The sequence below is a fragment of the Homo sapiens genome, chromosome 2 (genome assembly GCF_000001405.40).
Source record: "Homo sapiens chromosome 2, GRCh38.p14 Primary Assembly".
NCBI classification, from domain to species: domain Eukaryota; kingdom Metazoa; phylum Chordata; class Mammalia; order Primates; family Hominidae; genus Homo; species Homo sapiens.
The window spans coordinates 215,061,327-215,082,128 of NC_000002.12; the positions used below are offsets into that span (position 1 = coordinate 215,061,327).

Below are 20,802 nucleotides of genomic sequence, written 5' to 3' on the forward strand. Positions count from 1 at the left end.
CTTGGCGACTGGCCAACAAGTAGTGACTGCAGTGTGATCATGTCTTTCAGAAGAGCATTCTATTAAAAGAAACATGGCAGGCCTCTTTTGGTGAGACCAAAGGTGGCATTTTTCCCCTCACTTATAGAACAGAAAAGGAAGACTGTTTTGTTTCCTAATGAGGCTATGCTGGTGAATCTTCCTTCACTAAAGGGAAGCAATTTTAGTGGAATTGTTTATCCAGTAAAATATATGCCAGTTTCATTGCACAGCTATATAAAGCATAAAAGTTAATAGCATGATGGGAAATATCATTAATGCAACTTTATTATTGTACATAATTTTATAAATTAAACTCCAATTACTTAGTAGTTTAGAGAAAATAGTGAATATACAGCAATATACAACTTGAGCTAGATAAACTACCTGGAGGTAAAACTAAAATTAAGTAAAGCAGACATGATCAGCCATCTAGAGAATAATCAACAGATGAAAAAATACACCTGGGCTTTAATCCTACTTCCAAAACCAACTCAGTGTCTCATCTCATGCAACCCCATGAATTTGGTTGTCTATAATATTAGATAGACAAATACTTCTTTAGAGGGAACTATAGTTGTCTACTTCTTAGATACTGTTAATTATGTCCCTTATAGTTCTTTGTAAAATGGTAATCCAATTTGTAAATGATGGATATTAATTTTTCTCACAGCTCCTCTAATGCCTGGTTCACAAAATGTCTGTCTCAAGTAAACCTCTTTGTGAAGATTTACCTGATTACCCTAGCTGAAAGCTCTCTTTCTGCTTTAAGTATAGAGGGTGTCTTGCTTCAGCTTCCCTCTGGCAGTCTTCATTGTTCTATCTCCTATTATTGTTATTGATTTAATGTTTTCCCTCCGCTGCTAGAACATCAGCATACATTATTCCTAATTCATCACTCACTTAGTGACAAACATAGAGACCATCAACATTGGAACAAGAAGGAATGCCATTCTTCTTCCATCCCACCTTTGCACTGATTATACAAGAGGGAATAGACACTAGCTGGCAGTGGTCTTCTTACAGAATTAATTGCACACCGGTGCTCATTGAGGTCATGCTTGTATATGCCTAGAACTGTGCCGTTCTCATAGACAATGTATCATGTCATTTCCCCACTCAAAACTTTCAGATGGCTTCTCCTTACACTAAACACACAATGCGAATCCCCTTACCTTTTCTTTCATGATCAATTCTGCATGCTCTGGTCTCTGAGGTTCCTTTTCTACGTATCCCAATCCGTTTCCTCATCCCTTGCCATATTGCAACCGTGTTAGCTGACTTTTTGCTCTTCTAAATGGTTGGGTTTGTCCCCACCTCAGGATCATTTGCTGTTTCTCGGCATGCAACACTCTCTTCCAGATATTCATATGCTGCTGCTGATTTTTCCTTGTCCTTGTTGGTCTCTACCGAAATGTCACTTCTAGCAGAGGCCTTCTTTTGACACTCTATTAAATCCCTACTTTATAATTTCTACCTGTTAAACTGCTTTATTTTCTCACTAGCACACTCATTATTATTTAATTATGCTATTTATTTATTTGATCATGCTGTTGCTTTCCCTTCCTTTAGAATGCAAAAAGGATAGAGAAATTGTTTTATTCACCTCTGTATCCCAGTGCCTAGAATGGTGCCTGGCACATAGAAGCCTCTCAGTCTATTAATCTGTTTTTTAAATAGATTAATAAATGAATGAATGAACATCAGATTCTTTTAAGCATCAAGCCTAATTATTGAAACAACAAAATCAGTGTGAATCAGCATCCCAGCAATTAGGGGTCCCAAGCTGTGTCTCATGACAATTCTTAACATGTTTATATTTTTTGATAAACGGGTTGCAGTTGCACTCTTAAAGTATCACCTAGATTATTTGATGACCAAAATAATGAGAATGGTATTAAAGGAGAAATTGTGCTACATGCTAGGGAATTTAGTATTAAATTTGGCAACTAAATATCTACGATTATAGATAAATATAATATTTTCTTGAGAGATACTCAAAAAATATCTCTAACAGAATTAGCGCATGGTTGATTCAAGATTACAATATTGTTTTCAGTTCTGAAGACAGATAGGCTTCTGGGAGTCTTTTTAGGTTTAGAATCCCAGCAAGGAAAATTGAAGTTGTAAATGGTCAGGTTGTTAATGGCTTAGATTCCCTATTCATTCTTCACCTGCTCCTTACACCATAAAGTAGAACATGCATTAACCTCATTTAAAGGTTGTCATTCAATTATGTATACTTTTAACTTTATTACTTTGAATTTCAGGACGCTTAATTTCCTTTTTTGCACTTCCTGGTTTTTATTGTATCTGAAAGTATCACACATGGTAGTACCAGTATGTGATTCTTCCAGGATGATGGCCCTGACACTTATCTTACACTTACGACATCTCATGCTTGTGATGAGTCTCAGGCAATGTGTCACTGATAATTTAAGGTTGGATAGAGAATCTTTGAGGGATGTAAAGGAGGACTACTTTAGTCACCCATCTTATAAAGCAAATTTGAGACATTCACCCAAAGTAGATTGTACTCAATCTCACATAAACAGTTATTCCAGTTTATACCTACTTTGTTATTTCATATTTAGATCATCACATTTATAGACAGAGAAAACAAAATTGCATATCTAAGCTTGCATGGCTTCCTGGCTATCTCAGAAGGAAACAAGATTTGATCTCTCAGAACAATTGAACACACTTGAGAAGTGCCCCCACCTGTCTTTAAATAGTGCATCATCAATTCCTTTCCTACGAAGCAGATCTTGTGGGCCATAGGGTGTGTCTTTGCATTTAGAGTCTGTGTCACAGAGTAGGGTCTGCAGGAATGGAAAGAATCCAGTACTAGGAAGGTTTCGAGGTGCGAGGTAACCTAAAATTAAAAAAACAGTCATTACATCAGTATGGCACATTTGTCTGGGAAAGAACATAAATGCAGTAACTCCACTTTGTGAAGTTAACCTCCTGGATTACCACTCTCCGGGTCCCCCAACTGAGCCCCAACTCTGCAACTAACACTCACCACTGAGTAGGAGCAGTCTTGGAGGGTGTTATGTTTAACTTCCCTTTTCCGGATTTGCTAATACGTATAAAAACATTTAAAAATGCCTGGTTACCCCATGAATTCCCTTCCTGGGATTTATTCTAAGGAAATACTTACAGGTAGTTGCAAGAATGTTTGCCAGAATGTTTTAAAAATAAATCACAGTGTATCCACATGATAAAACACAAAGCAGCCAATACAAATGTTGTCAATTAATACAAAAAGTGTTTATGACACATTGTTAGTTTAAAAGAACAGATCAGAAAACAGATGAACAGAAGAGTCCTAATCTTTTAATACACGCACACACACACACACACACACACACACACACACACACACAAACATGTACTAAAAAATCCAAAAGATTGTATCACCAAAATTTGATTGATGGCTTTTTTCCTGGGTAGTGTATTTCATTTTATTTTCTTCCTTTTGACTGTATATTAACTGTGTTTTATCACAATTTACATGTCTTCTTTTGTAATCAAAGTAGGTATAAATGCAGCCATTCTTCCAAAAACCAGGAGCTATTTTTGGTCTCTTTAAAATTTAACATTTTAATTATCCTATATACACAACTTCTTTTTCCCGTTTAAAAACCAATAGTGAATGGTATGAATGAAAATGCAAATTTTCTCCAAAATTAAAGTCATACAAAACAGTAATTTTCATAGTGAGGGGTTTTGTAAACTTTAACATTTCCTTTATAAAATACGATGATGGCATACACACGAGTCATGACAATAGGCAAGCTGGGAAATACACATCTTTTCACAATTAGGTTTGCTATGAAAACACTAGATTTCTTCCTTTGGGGGAATACACAGACAATGAACTTTCAAAAAAGGCAAGTTTAGGAAAATTAAGGCTAAAAAGCAAAACTTTAATCTCCGCATGAATGTGTAAAAAAAAAAAAAAAAAAAAAAAAAAAAAGAGTGCCCGTACAGGTCTGTTTTCATTTTAAAGAGAAAGGAGAAAAGTAAAAAAAGAGAGAGAGAGAAAGAGAGAATGGTAAGAGCAACATGGCCATGCATTAATCTACCAGTAGAAAGAATAAATAGGTATTTGATTCCAGTAACTTAAATGTAGTTCTGTATAAAGAAAGAGCTGGGGGAAAAAAATAAAGAAGGGAAAATATGAAAGCTTGCCAGAAGAAAAGCAAAGAGGGAAAAAGAGAGATTGGAGAATGCTCTACTGTTGACCTTAAAGATGGCGGAAAAAGCTGCAAGTCAAGGAATATGGGGAGCCTCTAGAACTTCTAACTAGAACAATCTAGAAGACAGCTTTTCTTCCAGAGGGTCCAGAAGGAATGCAGCCCTGCTGAGACCTTGGATTTTAGCTCGCTGAGACCAAATTCTGGGCTTCTGACCTCCAGAACTGTAAAATAATAAGTTTGTGTTGTTTTAAGACACTCAGTTTGGGGTAATTTATCACAGTAACTATAGAAAAAAATAGTTTAAAAATTAATACCAGTATGAATGAAAGATTTGAAAACTCAGAAGAAATTGGAGAGAACTGAAGCCCACCAAACTATTCACTAGTTCCTTCCATGTGGACCCTCTTTGACACCAGAGAGATTGGTGCCTTTCCTAATGTTAAACCTAAGTGAAAATTGCAGTGAACCAATAATAATTTCCCACAATGTTTTCACTGTATGCAATTCCCTGAATAAAATAGAGAGTAGCTGCTAAACCGCCTGTTAGCTTTTCATGTCATCCCTCCGAAACAAAATTTTACCACAGTGAACTGCATATGGCAAGACCTTTAAAAGTCTGCAGTGGAGGTTTACCATTCATGGTAATGCACTCTGTTACACAGATCTCCACTGTAACCTCTCACTTAGGGTATAGGGCTGCAAATGAATTTATTACTACTCTCTGTCAAACACATGGAGTGGCTGATTTGAATGGAAGATAGATGGAAGGGCAACAGAAAGATGACCAGATGACCCCTCTGCTCTATGCCACTTATCAGCATGATGGCGTGGCTGAGTCAGGCAGTACTGAAAAAAATGAGACACTCAAGAAAAGCCATATTGCAATACAAAGAGAGGGAAAGAAGGAAAAAGATGTCATGGAAAAAAGAGCTTTCGGTGACATCCAAATTACCTTTCCTGGCATTCATTACAAATTGCAAATGATTTGAGAGGAATTTGAAGGAATTTAACCCACAACATTCTTTGGTATGATATCTACAGAGGACAAACCTAATTTATAGGAAAATTCATCACAGAGTTTCTTTAAAAATAAACTCCCATGGTGTTGAAAGTATAGACAGTCTATGCTTTGCACAGTTTTTTGATAATGGATTTTTAACATGTTACATGGGATCGTGCAAATGAGGAATTGATTCAGGCATGCACAAGTTTCAGCTAACAGAGTGCCATGCAGAGCATGGATGGCTTGCGTTATTTGTTTTGCCGTAATCTTTTAATCAAGGCCTATACCCTCATCAATGTAAGGGTGCCTGTTGCAACAACAATAACAACAGTGATTTATTAAGTATCTACTGTATCCCATGTACTGTGCTAGGCATGTAACATTTACTTATGTTATTCATCCTTCCTTGACATCTATAATATACTTTCTCATATACATGAACTTTAAATTCTGGAAATCCTCTAGAAGTAATGTCTGAATTAAATAGAATTAAATTTCCTGTAGCTTTCTTGTAAAAAAAATGATATTTTTTCCATTCTTTTCCCATCTCAGTTATGTATACAAATAAAAAGAGCAATGGTGGAATCAAACCGTTACACATTTTAAAGAGCTGCTAATTTTGACTTCAGCGCATTCTATCCTTGAAGGTGTTTCTGGCACTTTCAGTTCTGAAATTACATTCCCCTTTAAGTTCCCCAGTGCTAGGATAAAGAAAAAAGAGAAGCCTCTCTCTTTCTTTCACGAAACTTCCATGCAGCAAGCATAGGAATTGCAAAATTAAAGCTAATAATTGAGTGTCTATGTTCCCAGCCAAAGCACAAATTTAAGGACACAAGTAAAGGAAGACCATGATTGTGCAAACCATGGCAGCCCTATACAAGTAAAAATAAAAATAAAAAAATCTCAGGCAGGGTTTTGAGATAGAGTGTTTAAGCAGGATAAAGTCCATGGTACCATGATTCCCAAAAGTCTCATCCCAGGATAACATTCATGCCCATCTCCAGGAGAAAAGCTATTGAAGAATCTGCCAATTTCATAGGGTCGAATTCAGAAGATGTCAGCATCATCTGGGAGTAGGGTGAGGTATGTGTTGGTTGGCAAAATCCTAAGCTGGTTATGGCTTAGTTTCTCAGGGGCCCCAGGCAAAGGCAGTGAGGAGCCAGCCACTCATGGGTGGAGAGAGGTCATTCTCATTGAATGGATACAGTCTACCTCATTGACACTGTCCAATCATAACACTGACACAGTCCACGTTATTTCAAGGAGTTGAATCAAACCAAACTATGAAACAATTTTGGGAACAAACCACCAGTTAACTCAACTTTAAAGTAAATCAGATTCATTTTTCATTGCTATAAGAATGAAACTAGAATTACAAAAAGAATCAGTTCTAAGAATTTTTTAAATGTATGCTTTGTAAATAATTGTGATATCAATGGATATATGTAATGTTTACCTCAAAGGGAGATCAATTTTGATTTTCCTTTTCCTTTCCTCTCAAAAGAATCTATTCTGAACACTGTCAGTGTGACAGAATGTAAAGATTAGAGTGATGGTTCTCCAAGTTTGATCCTTGGACCAACAACATCAGTGTCACCTGGGAACTTATTAGAAATAAAAATTTCAGATCCCACCCCAGATCTCCTTAATCAGAAACTCTGGGGATGGGGTTCATCAGTCTGTGTTTTAATAAGCTCTCTAGGTAATTCTGATGCACAGTGAAGTTTGGGAACCACTGGATTAGACTGCAAAGCTTTTCATGAGAATCAGTAAATATTTTAAGCTTGTGGGCCATACTGTCTCCATTACAATTACTGAATTTTGCAATTATAGTATGAAAGCAGCCATAGACAATGGGTGCCTCAATGAGCCTGGTTGTATTCCAATAAAACTTTATTTACAGAAACAGGCAATAGGCTGGAATTGGCCCACAGGCTGTAGTTTGCTGACTCCTGGAAGGATAGCCTTTCTTACAGGCATCTCCCTCCTTCCCCTGCCTTGTTCACTTCCTGTTTTCACTTTCTCCCCCATCCTTCTTTTCCTCTTCCCTCATTGCATCTAATCGACTTAATTCTTTTTCCTCTACTTCTTAATGTTTTCTTCTTTCCTTTTCACTCACTACTTCCTCTTTTCGTTCAATTTCCAATTCTTCTTTTCCCTTTTCCTCCTGCTGCTGCCTTTCCTCCCTGCTCCCCTCTCTGTATTCATTGATGCAGCCAAGAATGCAGTTGTCTCTCAATGTCTTCCTTTACTTTGTCTTTTTCACCACCATAGAAGAATTTTGACTCACTTCCGCAATAAATTCAGGAGCACATTGCTCACTGGCACTGTCTAGAGAAGTGCTATTTTCTATTTATTTTATTATTGCAGAAAGTTATGCCATGGTCTTTTCAGGAATGAAGCTACTTCCATTTGAAATCATTAGGCTCCAGAAATATTCTGTAGGCTGCCTCGGTGACATTTGTACACATTATAGCAATGGTAGAATCGGACACTTGCCACTGTTTCATTCTGTTTTTCTCAAAACAGTTCAGAAGACAACCTAGTTGGTATTTTTATATTTCCAGGTGAAAGGCATTTAGTCTTTACCCCAGTGAAGAATAGAATGATACATTTTGGAAGGAAAATTCTGACTTTTAAAAAAAAAAATATGGAGTTACTCATTTGAGAGCATTTTTTTTTTTCTTAATTTCTTTGGATACAGGGTCACAGTGGCAGAATAAGTGTCAGGCCTTCTGATCGTGCAAATAATGTCTCCTTGTCAAGCACCACAACAGGGACTTAACACCATATCAAGAGTACAGAATGAGAGAAGCATATCAAAAACATCAGCTGTAAACAATCAAATACCTAAATGTGAATTTTCAAAGCATAGGAAAGGAAATGAATCTTAGAAGCATATTTGTAATAATTTATTAACGTTTTTTTTTAAATCTTCTTGTAGTTTTCAAGCACATTTTGTTCTCGGTTACACTTGAAAAGACAAGTTAAATTGTAAATGATATAAACTTGGCCTTTCAAAGTAGTTCGTAACATTATATCAGGAGCCTGTAGATCTGTTCCTGTTCTCCTTCGCATGCACCTTTCATTTGAGGGATCAGTCTACTTACTGAGGGGAGGTGTCCTGTCCACCACCCACCTTCAGATAAAATCAAATACACCAGTTCTTCCTGATTCCAGTCCCTCGGAATGAGGGCTTCTACACCTATGTGGCCTAGAGTGACTTCAGCCTAGGGCTGAAAACCAATATGACTTCGAACTTGCTAATAGAGACTCTAACCTAGTAAAATTGCGTCTTTTTAAGAGACTGGATAAAAAAATAAGCTATTTAAAAGAAAGAAAAAACCTTACATAGTTCTTAGCACAATGCTTCACACATTGTAAACAATTTTAAATATGTGAATAAATGGGTAGCTGTAGGAACCCCTGGGGGAGTCCGAGGAAGACTGCATGACTCAAGACTCTAACCTAATATACATCGTTATGTTTATCGTTTGTAGGACAAAGATTCAAATTGTATTCCAATGTTATAGTAAGTTCAAGGGATAATATTGTGTTATATTCACATGCCTTGTAAAATAGACAGATTTAAATGATTAATAAAATCAATATTTATTGTTGTAGAGCCTTTCAGTATTGATTTTTCTGAAAATCTAACTAATACACATTGACATCCATAAATGTCAACCTCTGGATTTATTATCCACAAAGTGAATCCATTCGCCATCTATTCAATAATATTTACTGGGCAGGTATTGTGTGCTTGGCACCAAGAAAGGTGTTAAGTAGGGTTCATTCTTCTATTTTTTAAAAAATCGTTCATCTTTTTTTTAAATGTTTTTATTATTATTATACTTTAAGTTTTAGGGTACATGTGCACAGTTAGTTACATATGTATACATGTGCCATGCTGGTGTGCTGCACCCATTAACTCGTCAGTCATTTAGCATTAGGTATATCTCCTAATGCTATCCCTCCCCCCTCCCCCCACCCCACAACAGTCCCCAGAGTGTGATGTTCCCCTTCCTGTGTCTATGTGTTCTCATTTTTCAATTCCCATCTATGAGTGAGAACATGCGGTGTTTGTTTTTTTGTCCTTGTGATAGTTTACTGAGAATGATGATTAAAAATTGTTCATCTTAACAGTTAAAAAATATTACTCTGGGTTATTATGGAAAGACAGAAAAAAGAGAGAGTATGTGAATCTGGTTTACAAGGTCATCACAGTTTTATTAAGTAAAATGCATATAGAAATCATTTGTTTTCCTGAACTGCCAGAAATATTGTGTACTAAAAAGTGTATGTTTGAAAACAAACAAAAGACATTGGTTAAAAAATAAACCTTCGGCTAGGAGCAGAGGCTCACACCTATACTCTCGCACTTTGGGATGCCAAGACGGATGGATTGCTTAAGCCCAGCAGTTCGAGACAAAGCCTGGGCAACATGGCGAAACCCTGTTTCTACAAAAAATACACACTCAAGAAAACCCACAAACTATCTCGGCATGCTGGTATGTGCCTGCAGTCCCACCTACTCCAGAGGCTGAGGTAGGAGAATCGCTTGAGCTCAGGAGTTCAAGGCTGCAGTGAGCCATGATCATGCCACAACACTCCAGCCTGGGCAACAGAGTGAGATCCTGTCTCAAATAAAATAAAATAAAATAAAATAAAATAAAATAAAATAAAATAAAATAAAATAAAATAAAAAATAAATCTTCATGGTTTTGAAGGAATTTAACATACATCATTTCATACAAGCTCCATGACAATTCTGTCAGATAGGCAGGGTGAGGGTTTATGCCCATTTTGTAGATAACCTCCGAGAAATCAAGCAATTTGGTCAAAGTCCAAATAAATAATTAATAATAAACAAACATAAACAATAAAATGCCAGAGATGGATCTAGAACTATATGATAGATTACAGTAATGAAAACAACATGTTCAGCTAAGCTTCAGAATCTTGGAGGAGGAAAGAGACTGAGAATTTGAAAAACAGGTACACTTCTAGTTTTGCTGTTGAATCACTGAATCACCAGGGGGTAAATTAACCTAGGACTCTATTTCCACATCTCCCAAATTGAAGATAATGGATTTTGCCATCTCACAGGGCACAGGGAAGATCAATTAGGCAATGCTTGTGTAAGGTACTATAAGCATTGAAGACACAAGGCCCCATGGAACCATGAGTTACCATTGCTCATCGGGCTTCTCTTGCATCATTCATCTTATTTTCCACTTGCTGGCTGTGGCTTCTCTGCTCGACCTGGTCTCCTGGCTCATGCCTTGAGCCAGTGAATGGTTTGGAGTGTTGCATGATGATGCACTTCTCTTCCTAGTAATTCATAATATGTACCTGTATCAACCGCTGTAGTGTTTAAATTACTGTGTGCTCAGTGGGTGTGGTGCCATGATACATTCTCCCTCCTTCTCCCCAGGCAAGTCTTACTTCATAGCACAGATTCTTTTCCAAGTTCAAATCCATTGGCAAAAAGGTAGACTGTAGGTGGTAATGAGGGCTGAGGCAAGATGCCTAATCCTGAAAGCAGTGATTAAGGAGTTCCTGTACTCAAAACGTTGGCACCTGAATATGTTCAATTGCTACAGCCACAAGGAACAAGAACAAACCTTGGGTCATTTGGGTGGGTGTCCTACAATGTCGGGATCTTTCTGACATCCTCTGCATCCCTCATAGCTGCTGCCAAGTACCACAGCCAGACGGATTTTGAAAAGTACAAAAAGTGTCCCTATGGATAGGACATAGGGACATTTTTTGTACCTTGAGACTCTGGCTATGAAACTATAGGCAAGAGGCACTGGGGGAAGATCTCTGCCTTCTTTATATTGTTGGCTTATTGCTATTATTATTTTTTAAGGGAAGCAGAGTTTTTAGAAGGCAGTCTGGACTCAGGACCTTGCTGTCTCTTTGGATGTTATCTCTTTGACCCTTTAGTGTACACTTGAATTGATGGTCAGCCCAGAAGACTCCATAACCCCACCTTCCTGCATGTCCAGACCAAAATGTAGCTCCGTCTTTTCTGAATGTTAAGGAGACCCTGCTGGGTGATGGGTTCCAAAGATCATGGCCTGGTCTATTTAAATTTTAAACAAAATGTTTTGATTCAAGGCTGGGAGATATAACAGTAACAAATACATGGCAGATAATAAACTCCCTTGTGAACTGAATCTGGGGGAAGTTTAAAAATAAAAATCTCACTCATACTTTCAAAACATTTCCACTTAACAAAGAATGTTGAGTTCTTCGCCAGGCGCGGTGGCTCACGCCTGTAATCCCAGCACTTTGGGAGACCAAGGTGGGCGGATCACGAGGTCAGGAGTTCGAGACCAGCCTGGCCAACATGGTGAAACCCTGTCTCTACTAAAAATACAAAAATTAGCTGGGCATGGTGGCAGGCACCTGTAACCCCAGCTACCTGGGAAGCTGAGGCAGGAGAATTGCTTGAACCCAGGAGGCGGAGGTTGCAGTGAGCCAAGATCGTGCCATTGCACTCCAGACTGGGTGACAGAGCAAGAGTCTGCCTCCAAAAAAAAAGAAAGAAAGAAAAGAAACAAGGAATGTTGAGTTCTACGGCTCATCTGGGGTGAGTAGGGTTTATTAGTCTTGTTAGATAAGCCTTACAGTAACTGACATTTTGCTTTTCTGAAACTTGTCTTTTAGTAACAAAGATTCACGATTGCATTTTTAAAAAATCTCCCTGCTATGGCCATTTGCAAATAGAATCCTGGCAACTATTTTTCCCCTCTAAATATACATTAATTTTTTTTTAAATAGACCCCTAGAATCTCATTTCATTGTAGGACATTCTCCCTCTAAAATTTAGCCTCCTAATTCTCCTTAGATGCGGCTAACCAGGAAGATGGTTTTAGCCTCTGGGCAGGTCTGAATTAAGCTGGGTACGCATACACTGGGTATGACCGTGCTGATTGGTCATATCAGAAAGGCCTGGTGCTGGTGGGTAAAGAGCCACTATGCTGAGCCCCATCAGCTGCAGCCCCCGCCCCCACCGAGATATTCTCCCTTTCCACAGATCCAGCAACACCACTTAGCATCCAGGAAAGGAGGGGTACCCTGGAGGAATGGTACACTGGGGGAGTGGTACTTCCTGCAGTGCCACTGCATCTGTTCTGATTGAGGAGGGAAGTGCTGTGCTCATAGTTAACTGTGTTGCTGATCACCTAGGCATCTAGGAGTTAACTCACAAAGCCTGCACTGAGAGAACGAGTTGAGGATTTAATTCCTCTCCTGTTACTATGATCTCCAATGTGATGTTGGGGTTTGGAGGAGTAGAGTGGGGAAGCATCGGGGATTCCTCTAAACCAGACTCTGGGGCCAAATGAGCTTAGGAAACTAAACTCTATCTCCCCTTCTGGGAAAGCCAGAATATATTTGCATATTAAAGACTCTGAAAAGTTTTTCAGTAAAAAACCTGAATAACTTTGGTTAATTCCAGATTTCCATGATCTGATTACAGAACATGTCTTCCTTTCCTTCTTTAAATTTTTCTCCCTGTTTTTTAGGGTAGCATTGGATAATAACCTGGGAATGAATATTCCATGGGGCACACTTTGGAAAACAGAGCCTTAATCCATGATCTCACATATTCCCAGCTGAAAAGATGCCTGGAATTGAAAAGTTGTTTTTCCCCCTCTCAGGAAGAAACGTCTTACATAAGAAAATATTTTGGTTTCAAGTCTTAATGTACTAAAACTTATTTGTAAACTGTCACCTTACTAATAAGGCTTAAAGATGGTAATTCAGCAAGCACCTTAGTGTTTGTGCATTACTATTTGTGGGAGTCCCTCAGCAAAACCTATCTCAGACATTGCCTGAAGAAGGGAGTTTCATTCTAGAAGGATTTTAGGAGGCTTATTAAAGTACACACTCTATAATAGGGAAAAATAATGACGGACTCAGAATGAGAACAAACAAGGATAGGAAAAAATAAAGCCAATACAATAATATGGGCCAGAGGTCTGTGTATTGATAGAGGTTGGCCACAAATTTGGATCTGGGTGTCAAAGAAATACAGAAACGTGATCATTTACCGAGTTCACAGTGTCCATAAAATAAAATAAAAATAAATAAATAGGCCAGGCGTGGAGGCTCACGCCTGTAATCCCAGCACTTTGGGAGGCCAAGGTGGGCCGATCATGAGGTCAGGAGATCGAGAACATCCTGGTCAACATGGTAAAGCCCCCTCTCTACTAAAAATACAAAAATTAGCTGGGTGTGGTGGTGCGTGCCTGTAGTCCCAGCTACTTGGGAGGCTGAGGCAGGAGAATCACTTGAACCCGGGAGGTGGGGGTTGCAGTGAGCCGAGATCACGCCACTGTACTCAAGCCTGGGTGACAGAGCAAGACTCTGTCTCAAAAAATAAAAATAAAAATAAATAAATAAATAAATAAATGTACTGGGATAGATACAGCTTTTACTATACAGAGAGAAATCACACTTGTCAGGCACTTTAGGGCTTCACTTTAGTGAGTCAAATGTGAGAGTGTATTTACCCCCCACCACCAATGCATGGGAGCTTCAGTGAAAGTGATCCATTATTCCAGTGGCTAATCCTTAGCAGAAGGGAGATGGAGGTGTTTACCACTTGCAGGCAAAGAGGGGGGAAAATTGAGTAATGTTCTCCCTTCGACACTTCTAAAGGGGTCATTGCCAATTTGGGCCACCATCATCATGATACCAGTGTACAGAATACCAAGAAAGATAATGAAAACAGTGTAAAGTTGTTAGGAGTTAATCAGAGAAAATGCCCTTTTCAACTTCTTCCCCAAATCTTTGCCCTTCTAGTAACCTGAGCTAACTTATGAGTTATTGCCCGGAACTATATATTGGCAAAATTTTCAGGAAGTACTCTAGTGAGTGAAGGTTCAGACAGGAGCGAGAGTCAAAAAGCATCCTCTTAATCCTAGCTTTGCAAATGATTTATTGTGCAATCATAACCCTGTATCTTGAGTCAGTTTCCTCATTTATGCAGGAAAAAAAAAAAATCTGGGCCATCCATCCATCACAAGTGTTCCAAGTAGAAGAATCCCCTGTAAAAGGAGATGAGCATGTTCAAGTATTAAGCACTTAAAATGAAGATTATGTTTGGAAATCAAAATATAATTTTGATAACCCATTAAAAGTAATGAAATGGAGAAAACAAATTTTAGTAATTACCCCAATAGAGGTATGTTACTAACAACTATCTTTTCACTTGGAAATCTGACTCAGTTATTATCACAGTGAATTTTGTGTGCTATGGTGTAAAACTAAAAGCCAGTGAAATTTATTGCTGGGATCATTGTATGGAAAAAAAATAGACCTCATCAAGGCAGAAGCTTAGTCACTTCTTTAATTCAACAGATGGTCTATTCACTCGGGATGCTCGAAGTCTGGTTCCAGATCCTATCACTCCTCAACAGTTTGTGTAATATTTAGGTCTTTGGTATTCATATTCCATCTATTTACAAATGATACTTGTGACAGCCCACCAGTGGAAAATGTGTGTCACAACCTTTTCTTTCCAGCAGCACTGCTGACAGGTAGCAAAACCCCATCTTCTCATCAGACTTGACTTTTTTCCTCAACCAAAGATTTCCTTACCAAGACCTCTGCCAATCGCAAAGAGACAATTTATGTGACCCGTGGCTTGCTTTGTATCCCACAACATGTTACTGGCCTTCTCCCTCTCTCTTCGCAGATCCATTTTTCGTCAAAGTTACTGTCTCATTAAGGGGAAAAATAGCAGACAAAAATTCCCTGGTGGTATGTTCCCACGTTGTACAGTTAAAATTTATCATTAAAAATATTTTAACATAGCAATTAGTATTTGCTTTTTCTAAGAAAAAGTTCTTTTTTTTCTGAAAAGAAAATACTTCAGCAAAATACACAGGAAAACCAAGAGATTCCGTTTTACATCTATCAGATTGGCAAAAGTTTAAAACACAAGTGTTGAGAGGATATGGAGGAATGGGAACTCTCATCCCATGGTGGGGAAAAGTAAATTGATAAAGCTAGTATGGCAAGCATTTGGCCACATTTGACAAAGTTTAAAAATGTGCCTAAGTCTAGAGAGGTACTCTAGAAAAACACACACATGTGCAAAAGGAGACATATAAAAGAATATCCATTATGGTAATAAATTGAAAGTGTTCATCAAAAGACCACAGACAAATAGATTGTGATATATTTATACATGGAGTAGATGGGTCAAAGTGAATAAACTCAAGCTGCCTAAATCAATGGAGATAAACTACACAACACAGTGCTGAGCAAAACATAATGTTGAGCCCAAAAAGCTTAATACAAAAGGATGTGTGAGTGGGATGCTATTTACATAACATTTAGACACTTGCAAAATAATACTATGTGATGTAGTCAAGTATATAAACATGTAGTAAAAAATATAAAACAAGCATAAGAATGTTACACACTGAATTAGTGATAATTATTTCCTTCAGGAACAGAAGGAAGGAGGCAGGAAGGGAGGGAGAAAATGGAACCTACTAGGTTTACACAGGGGCCTCCAAGGTACCTTTAATGTTTGACTTCTTTTAAATGATAACACAAATAGATGCTGAAGCAAATATGACATCAAAATATTAGAGTCTGATAAAGTTGGGCAGTAGATACATGAAGGTCTGTTATTTTTGTGCTTGCCAATGTGTTTGAAATATTTCACAATTTTCTTAATAATGATGTATTGGAATTGCATTCGGCCATAACTAGGTTTTAGTTACAAAGTACCAGAGACAGCTCATTACAATGTAAGCTTACCTACAAGCCAGTTCAAGAATAGCTTTATAACAATGCTCTCTGAGTTGATAAATTCCATTCTTTGGTTTTGTCAATTTTGTGGGTAACTCATTTACCTAGGTTTCATTTTTTTACTCACTGTCCTCCTTGCCCTGTTTATTATGATACTAGCTGGGATTTCTCTTCCTGAGGGGTAGAGCTAATTCAGAGCTCATTAAATGCATAACTCCAAACTGTTCCATTATATATTACCTCTATCTACTCTCCACTGAGCATCATCTGCTATTGTGTTTACTCCATTACCGAGCTAAATTAAGTCCTGCAAGAGTTTCTCATAATCCTTCAAACTTTTGGTTGTTGGCAAACATGTGCCATTTATTTGTATTGCTTCTGAATTATTAACAAATATATTTTTAAATTGTCTCTAGGTTTCTAAAAGTCAACTCACTGTTCGATGAATGCTGTGCTCTCATTTTACATATTTGCCCATCTCAGCTGGTTTTTGGAATCCGAGATCGGACCTTTTATCTATTATTAAATTATACCTCAAATTACTTAATGCAACAGTTGTTCATAGCCTTATGGGAAGATCACACACAAAAAACGTAAAGCACTAGATGCTCCTAACCACAGATATTCAGTCAATCCTTTCAAGGAATTTCCACAGATTAGAAAGACACAACCTAATTTATTTAAACGATACCACGTTTGCTGCCTGTGCAGTCATTGCTTTTTCCTGTGAAAGGTAAAATTTGCTCAACTCCTGATGTGAATTCCCAAGATCTCTCTTCTCGCATTTTTAAAAAACAGGTTAGCCATTAGCCAGATGGCAGCTCTTGAAAGATATTCTCACAATTAATAGTAAATGATACCGCTTTATTAGTGGTTCAGTCTTATTCTGCAGTTTCTTAAGATTTTTAAAAACAATAGCCAGGGAAAACAATCCCATTCATTCCCCTTGACTCCTACAGCTTTCATTGGCAAACTCAGGCCAGCAGTCTGCCACTTGGTAGAGCAAAGTAACTTGAGATCATGTAGCATTGTGTTTAGCCTTTGTCTTCCTTGAGAGAATACTGATCTAATGGTTTCATATGATTTTACTGTATGGATGCTATCATAGAATTCTTGTTAATCTTTCACATTTCGGGTAATGTTGCCTTCAAATTCATTTTGAATCTTAAAAGTCCCAGTTCTTATGCAGTCCTAGTTGATAAGTATCCCCTTTGTTGTTTATTCCTGTGTAGATATTGATCCAGTCTGTGTGTCTACACCCACAATGGAGAATCATTACTCATTCATTCATTCATTCAATCCAAACATGGCTATTGAACATCTTCTATGTCCATAATGTGGAGATACTGCTGGTGGACAAGAAAACTATAACTGTTTCTACCCTTAGTGAGAATAATGAGAAATAGGAAAAAAACACAAGGTTCATAGTGGAGCAAAACAAATCCTAGTCACTCTATCTTTATTTTGGGCCATTATACCTAAGAATTAGATCTAAATTAATACAATACCTTTCAGGCAATTACTCCTCTTTTCCTAGTTTGAAACTCCCAAGACTAGACTTCTCTAAGGCAACAATAAAATTAAATCCTACCCACGGGTCCAAAAATTAAAAGAAAGTGGGATGTGAATCAGCACATGATCTAGGTAACATGGTATATTTTGCCTCTTCCCTCTTGTCCTTTTTTATGCATATTTAGTGAACCTTCAGTAGCCCCTTCTGTGTCTCAGGCAGACAGATGGCTTTTATTCTTTTAGCCTAATGATATGGAGAAAAACAGAAGGATGGGAAAAAGTCTTCAAGTGCTTCATCTGCAGAGATAACAGATACTAAAATCGCAACCCTCATACCATCTTTTCTTCCTGGTTCAATATATAGAAAAGGTGAAAGATGCAAGAAGGTGCAATATAGCACACAAGAAAATCTTCCTGTAGACAGTGGTGGATTTCTTTTTGGAAAAATGTGACTATGTGAAACAGAAGGATGAGAACTCAGAAGTCATAGCACTTTTTCCTGGCTCTAAAACAATAAAATGTAAGTGAGGGAACCTTACTAAACAGCCCGTGTTCGGTATCAACTCCTTGGTGCCTGCTGTGGAAAATATTGATGGATAAATAATAGAAATGAAACGTGGAAGATATCTGAAAGCTTGAACTGATCTCCAGTTTTCAAACATCAGAACTGGTATAAGTTTATCATTGACTGCTTAGTATGCTTAAAGGAACAGTTAATTCAGGGCAAATGTCATTAATGTCTCCCAGTTCAATTACTTCTTTCCCTTTCTATTGCCCCTCTTGTTTTGTTTCACTCAGGTCAAAATGAGCTGCCAGCTTTTGCTTATTGCTCCTAGACATTCACAGATTCCCCCTGGGCATCAGACTCTTTTAATTTTTCCTTTTGGTGAGGTTGTACAGTTTTTAATCTTGCGTTACTTAATAAAATGTTTAGGGAAATAAATGAACAGAAGCGTTCAATTCCAGGCAAGTGGCTTTCAACATTAAGATAGGCTGATGAAATCAGACACAACATAAAAAGCTGAAAAGAAATTAAATTTAGATATATCGACAGGATTAATACCAAAATACTGGTTGGGGATAAATAGACTAATGGCTACCATTTATCGTATTCCTAATATGTTTCCCTATATGTGGCATGTATTGTCTTTAATTCTTATAACAACTCGGCTAGTTGGGGATTTTCTTTCTGCTATATACGGTAATTAGAGGAATCCCACATGTAATTGAAAAAACTTTGCATCTTTATTCCTAAATCATTTTTCCTGCTCTGCTTGCTTACAGGAAAATAAGGTATATTATTAGTAACTTTAATGTAGTTACTTAAAATTCCTTTAAAAATATACAGTGATGAATTCCCTGAACTAAAGGCCAGGTGCAGTGGCTCATGCCTGTAATCCCAGGACTTTGGAAGGCCAAGGCAGGTGGATTACCTGAGGCAGGGAGTTCGAGACCAGTCTGGGCAACATAGTGAGATATCATATCTACCAAAAATACAAAAAATTAGCCGGACGTGGTAGTGCGTGCCTGTAGTCCCAGCTACTCAGGAGGCTGAGTGAGGCATGACAATTGCTTGAACCCAGGAGGCGGAGGTTGCAGTAAGCTGAGATTGTGCCACTGCACTGCAGCCTGAGCAACAGAGCAAGACTTGGTCTCAAAAAAAAGAAAAGATGCAACTGAGTCAGAAATTTATCATAGGATTTATCATAGAACTAAGACACATTCTTACTTAAATTTCAAAATGCTTTAAATATATATATTTATAAATCTAAGAAACAATCACCCTAGGCTGTTTAAGAGAGAAAAATCCCTTATTTGCACTTTATAGGCTAGAAAAGGAAGACACTGTAAGAGTAAATGATATGCCGGAGGCAGCCCAGTCAGCAGCCATAAATAACACCCACTTCTTGTCACATCCAGTAGGCCGCTCCATTGGGAAGTCAAGACGGTATCTTAAGTGCTGTATTCCACTCGATGCTCTATTTTCCTGCTTGCTGCAGTAACTGTGGTTTCATACAGAGTATTAGAACTACCAGGTAATCCTTGAAAAATGTTCTAAGTCCCTCTTTCCTCCCCCTCAGAACCATATTATTTTAAATCTTTTCTCAACCAGTGCTGGAAAATTCTCCTGTTAGTTGACCAAAAAGTTGAAAATCACTTGGTTTATTATTCATTTTTGCTTCCTATATTAATAGTTTTATGATGCCAGTTTCTGGCCAGGAAAGAGAGAAATCAATTACCCTCAGTTTCATGTTGCACATATTTGTATTCAAAAGCTTCAGTTAAAGTTTATGTCAATTGACTCTCTTTAGCCTGTTTGCCTTCACTTCTTAACAACACAAGCAAACAGGCCAGCTGCAGTGGCTCACGCCTGTAATCCCAGCACTTTGGGAGGCTGAGGCAGTCCGATCACCTGAGATCAGAAGTTCGAGACCAGCCTGGCCAACATGGTGAAACCCCATCTCTACTAAAAATACAAAAATTAGCAAGGCATGGTGGTGCACGCCTGTAGTCCCAGCTACTCTGGGTGCTGAGGCAGGAGAATTGCTTGAATTCTGGGGAGGCAGAGGTACAGTGAGCTGAGATCGTGCCACTGCACTCCAGCCTGGGCAGCAAAGCAAGACTCTGTCTCAAAAAAAAAAAAAAGAAAAAGAAAAAAGAAAAAGAAAAAAGAAAAAGTAAAAGAAAAAGAAAAGAAACAAACAAAAAAATGGGGGAAGGGATTTAGATTTAGTTTCCCCCCTAAATAAAGGTGACCAAATTATTACACTGCTCCTTGGATTACTTTTAAACATTGGAATGCTCTGATACATACTACTTTATAGTACATTACCAAACTAACACATGAAATTATACATTTAAAAGTATGTGTATATAGATATCTTAAATATATACACACACAATACATATGTTTTAGGAAGCCCAGGAGAGAATGTCAGGACAGGGAACAGAAAGAGACCTGGAAGACAAGATTGACAATGAAGTTTTATTTCCCTATAAAACAATTAAGAGGATCTTGAATTCTCAGATACAAAACTGATATCAACGGAGCATTGGGGATTGCGTTTTGTTACTAGAGGATTGGAATTATTCTTATTAATAGTGTTACACACACTGTATTGACCTCAGATGAAAGTATGACTCCCACTTCACAAGTCCATATGCAGTTACATATTATTTACTGAAATTGTTAATTCTTTTTTTTTTTTTTTTTTTGAGACAGAGTCTTGCTCTGTTGGCCAGGCTAGAGTGCAGTGGCACGATCTCGGCTCACTGCAACCT

At 37.9% G+C, this 20,802-nt stretch overlaps 1 protein-coding gene across 3 annotated transcripts in view; it reads right to left on the bottom strand.

Moving 5' to 3' along the window:
• The window catches only part of ABCA12 (ATP binding cassette subfamily A member 12), a 207,085-nt gene that overhangs the window by 129,785 nt on the left and 56,498 nt on the right, over positions 1-20,802 (bottom strand). For all 3 annotated transcript variants that reach the window (NR_103740.2, NM_173076.3, XM_011510951.3), the window contains exon 3: positions 2,740-2,893. Coding sequence is in view for 2 of the 3 variants with exons in the window: in NM_173076.3 (NP_775099.2) it covers positions 2,740-2,893 (154 nt within the window). In the remaining variant the exon portion in view is untranslated. The remainder of the gene's footprint in view (positions 1-2,739; positions 2,894-20,802) is intronic.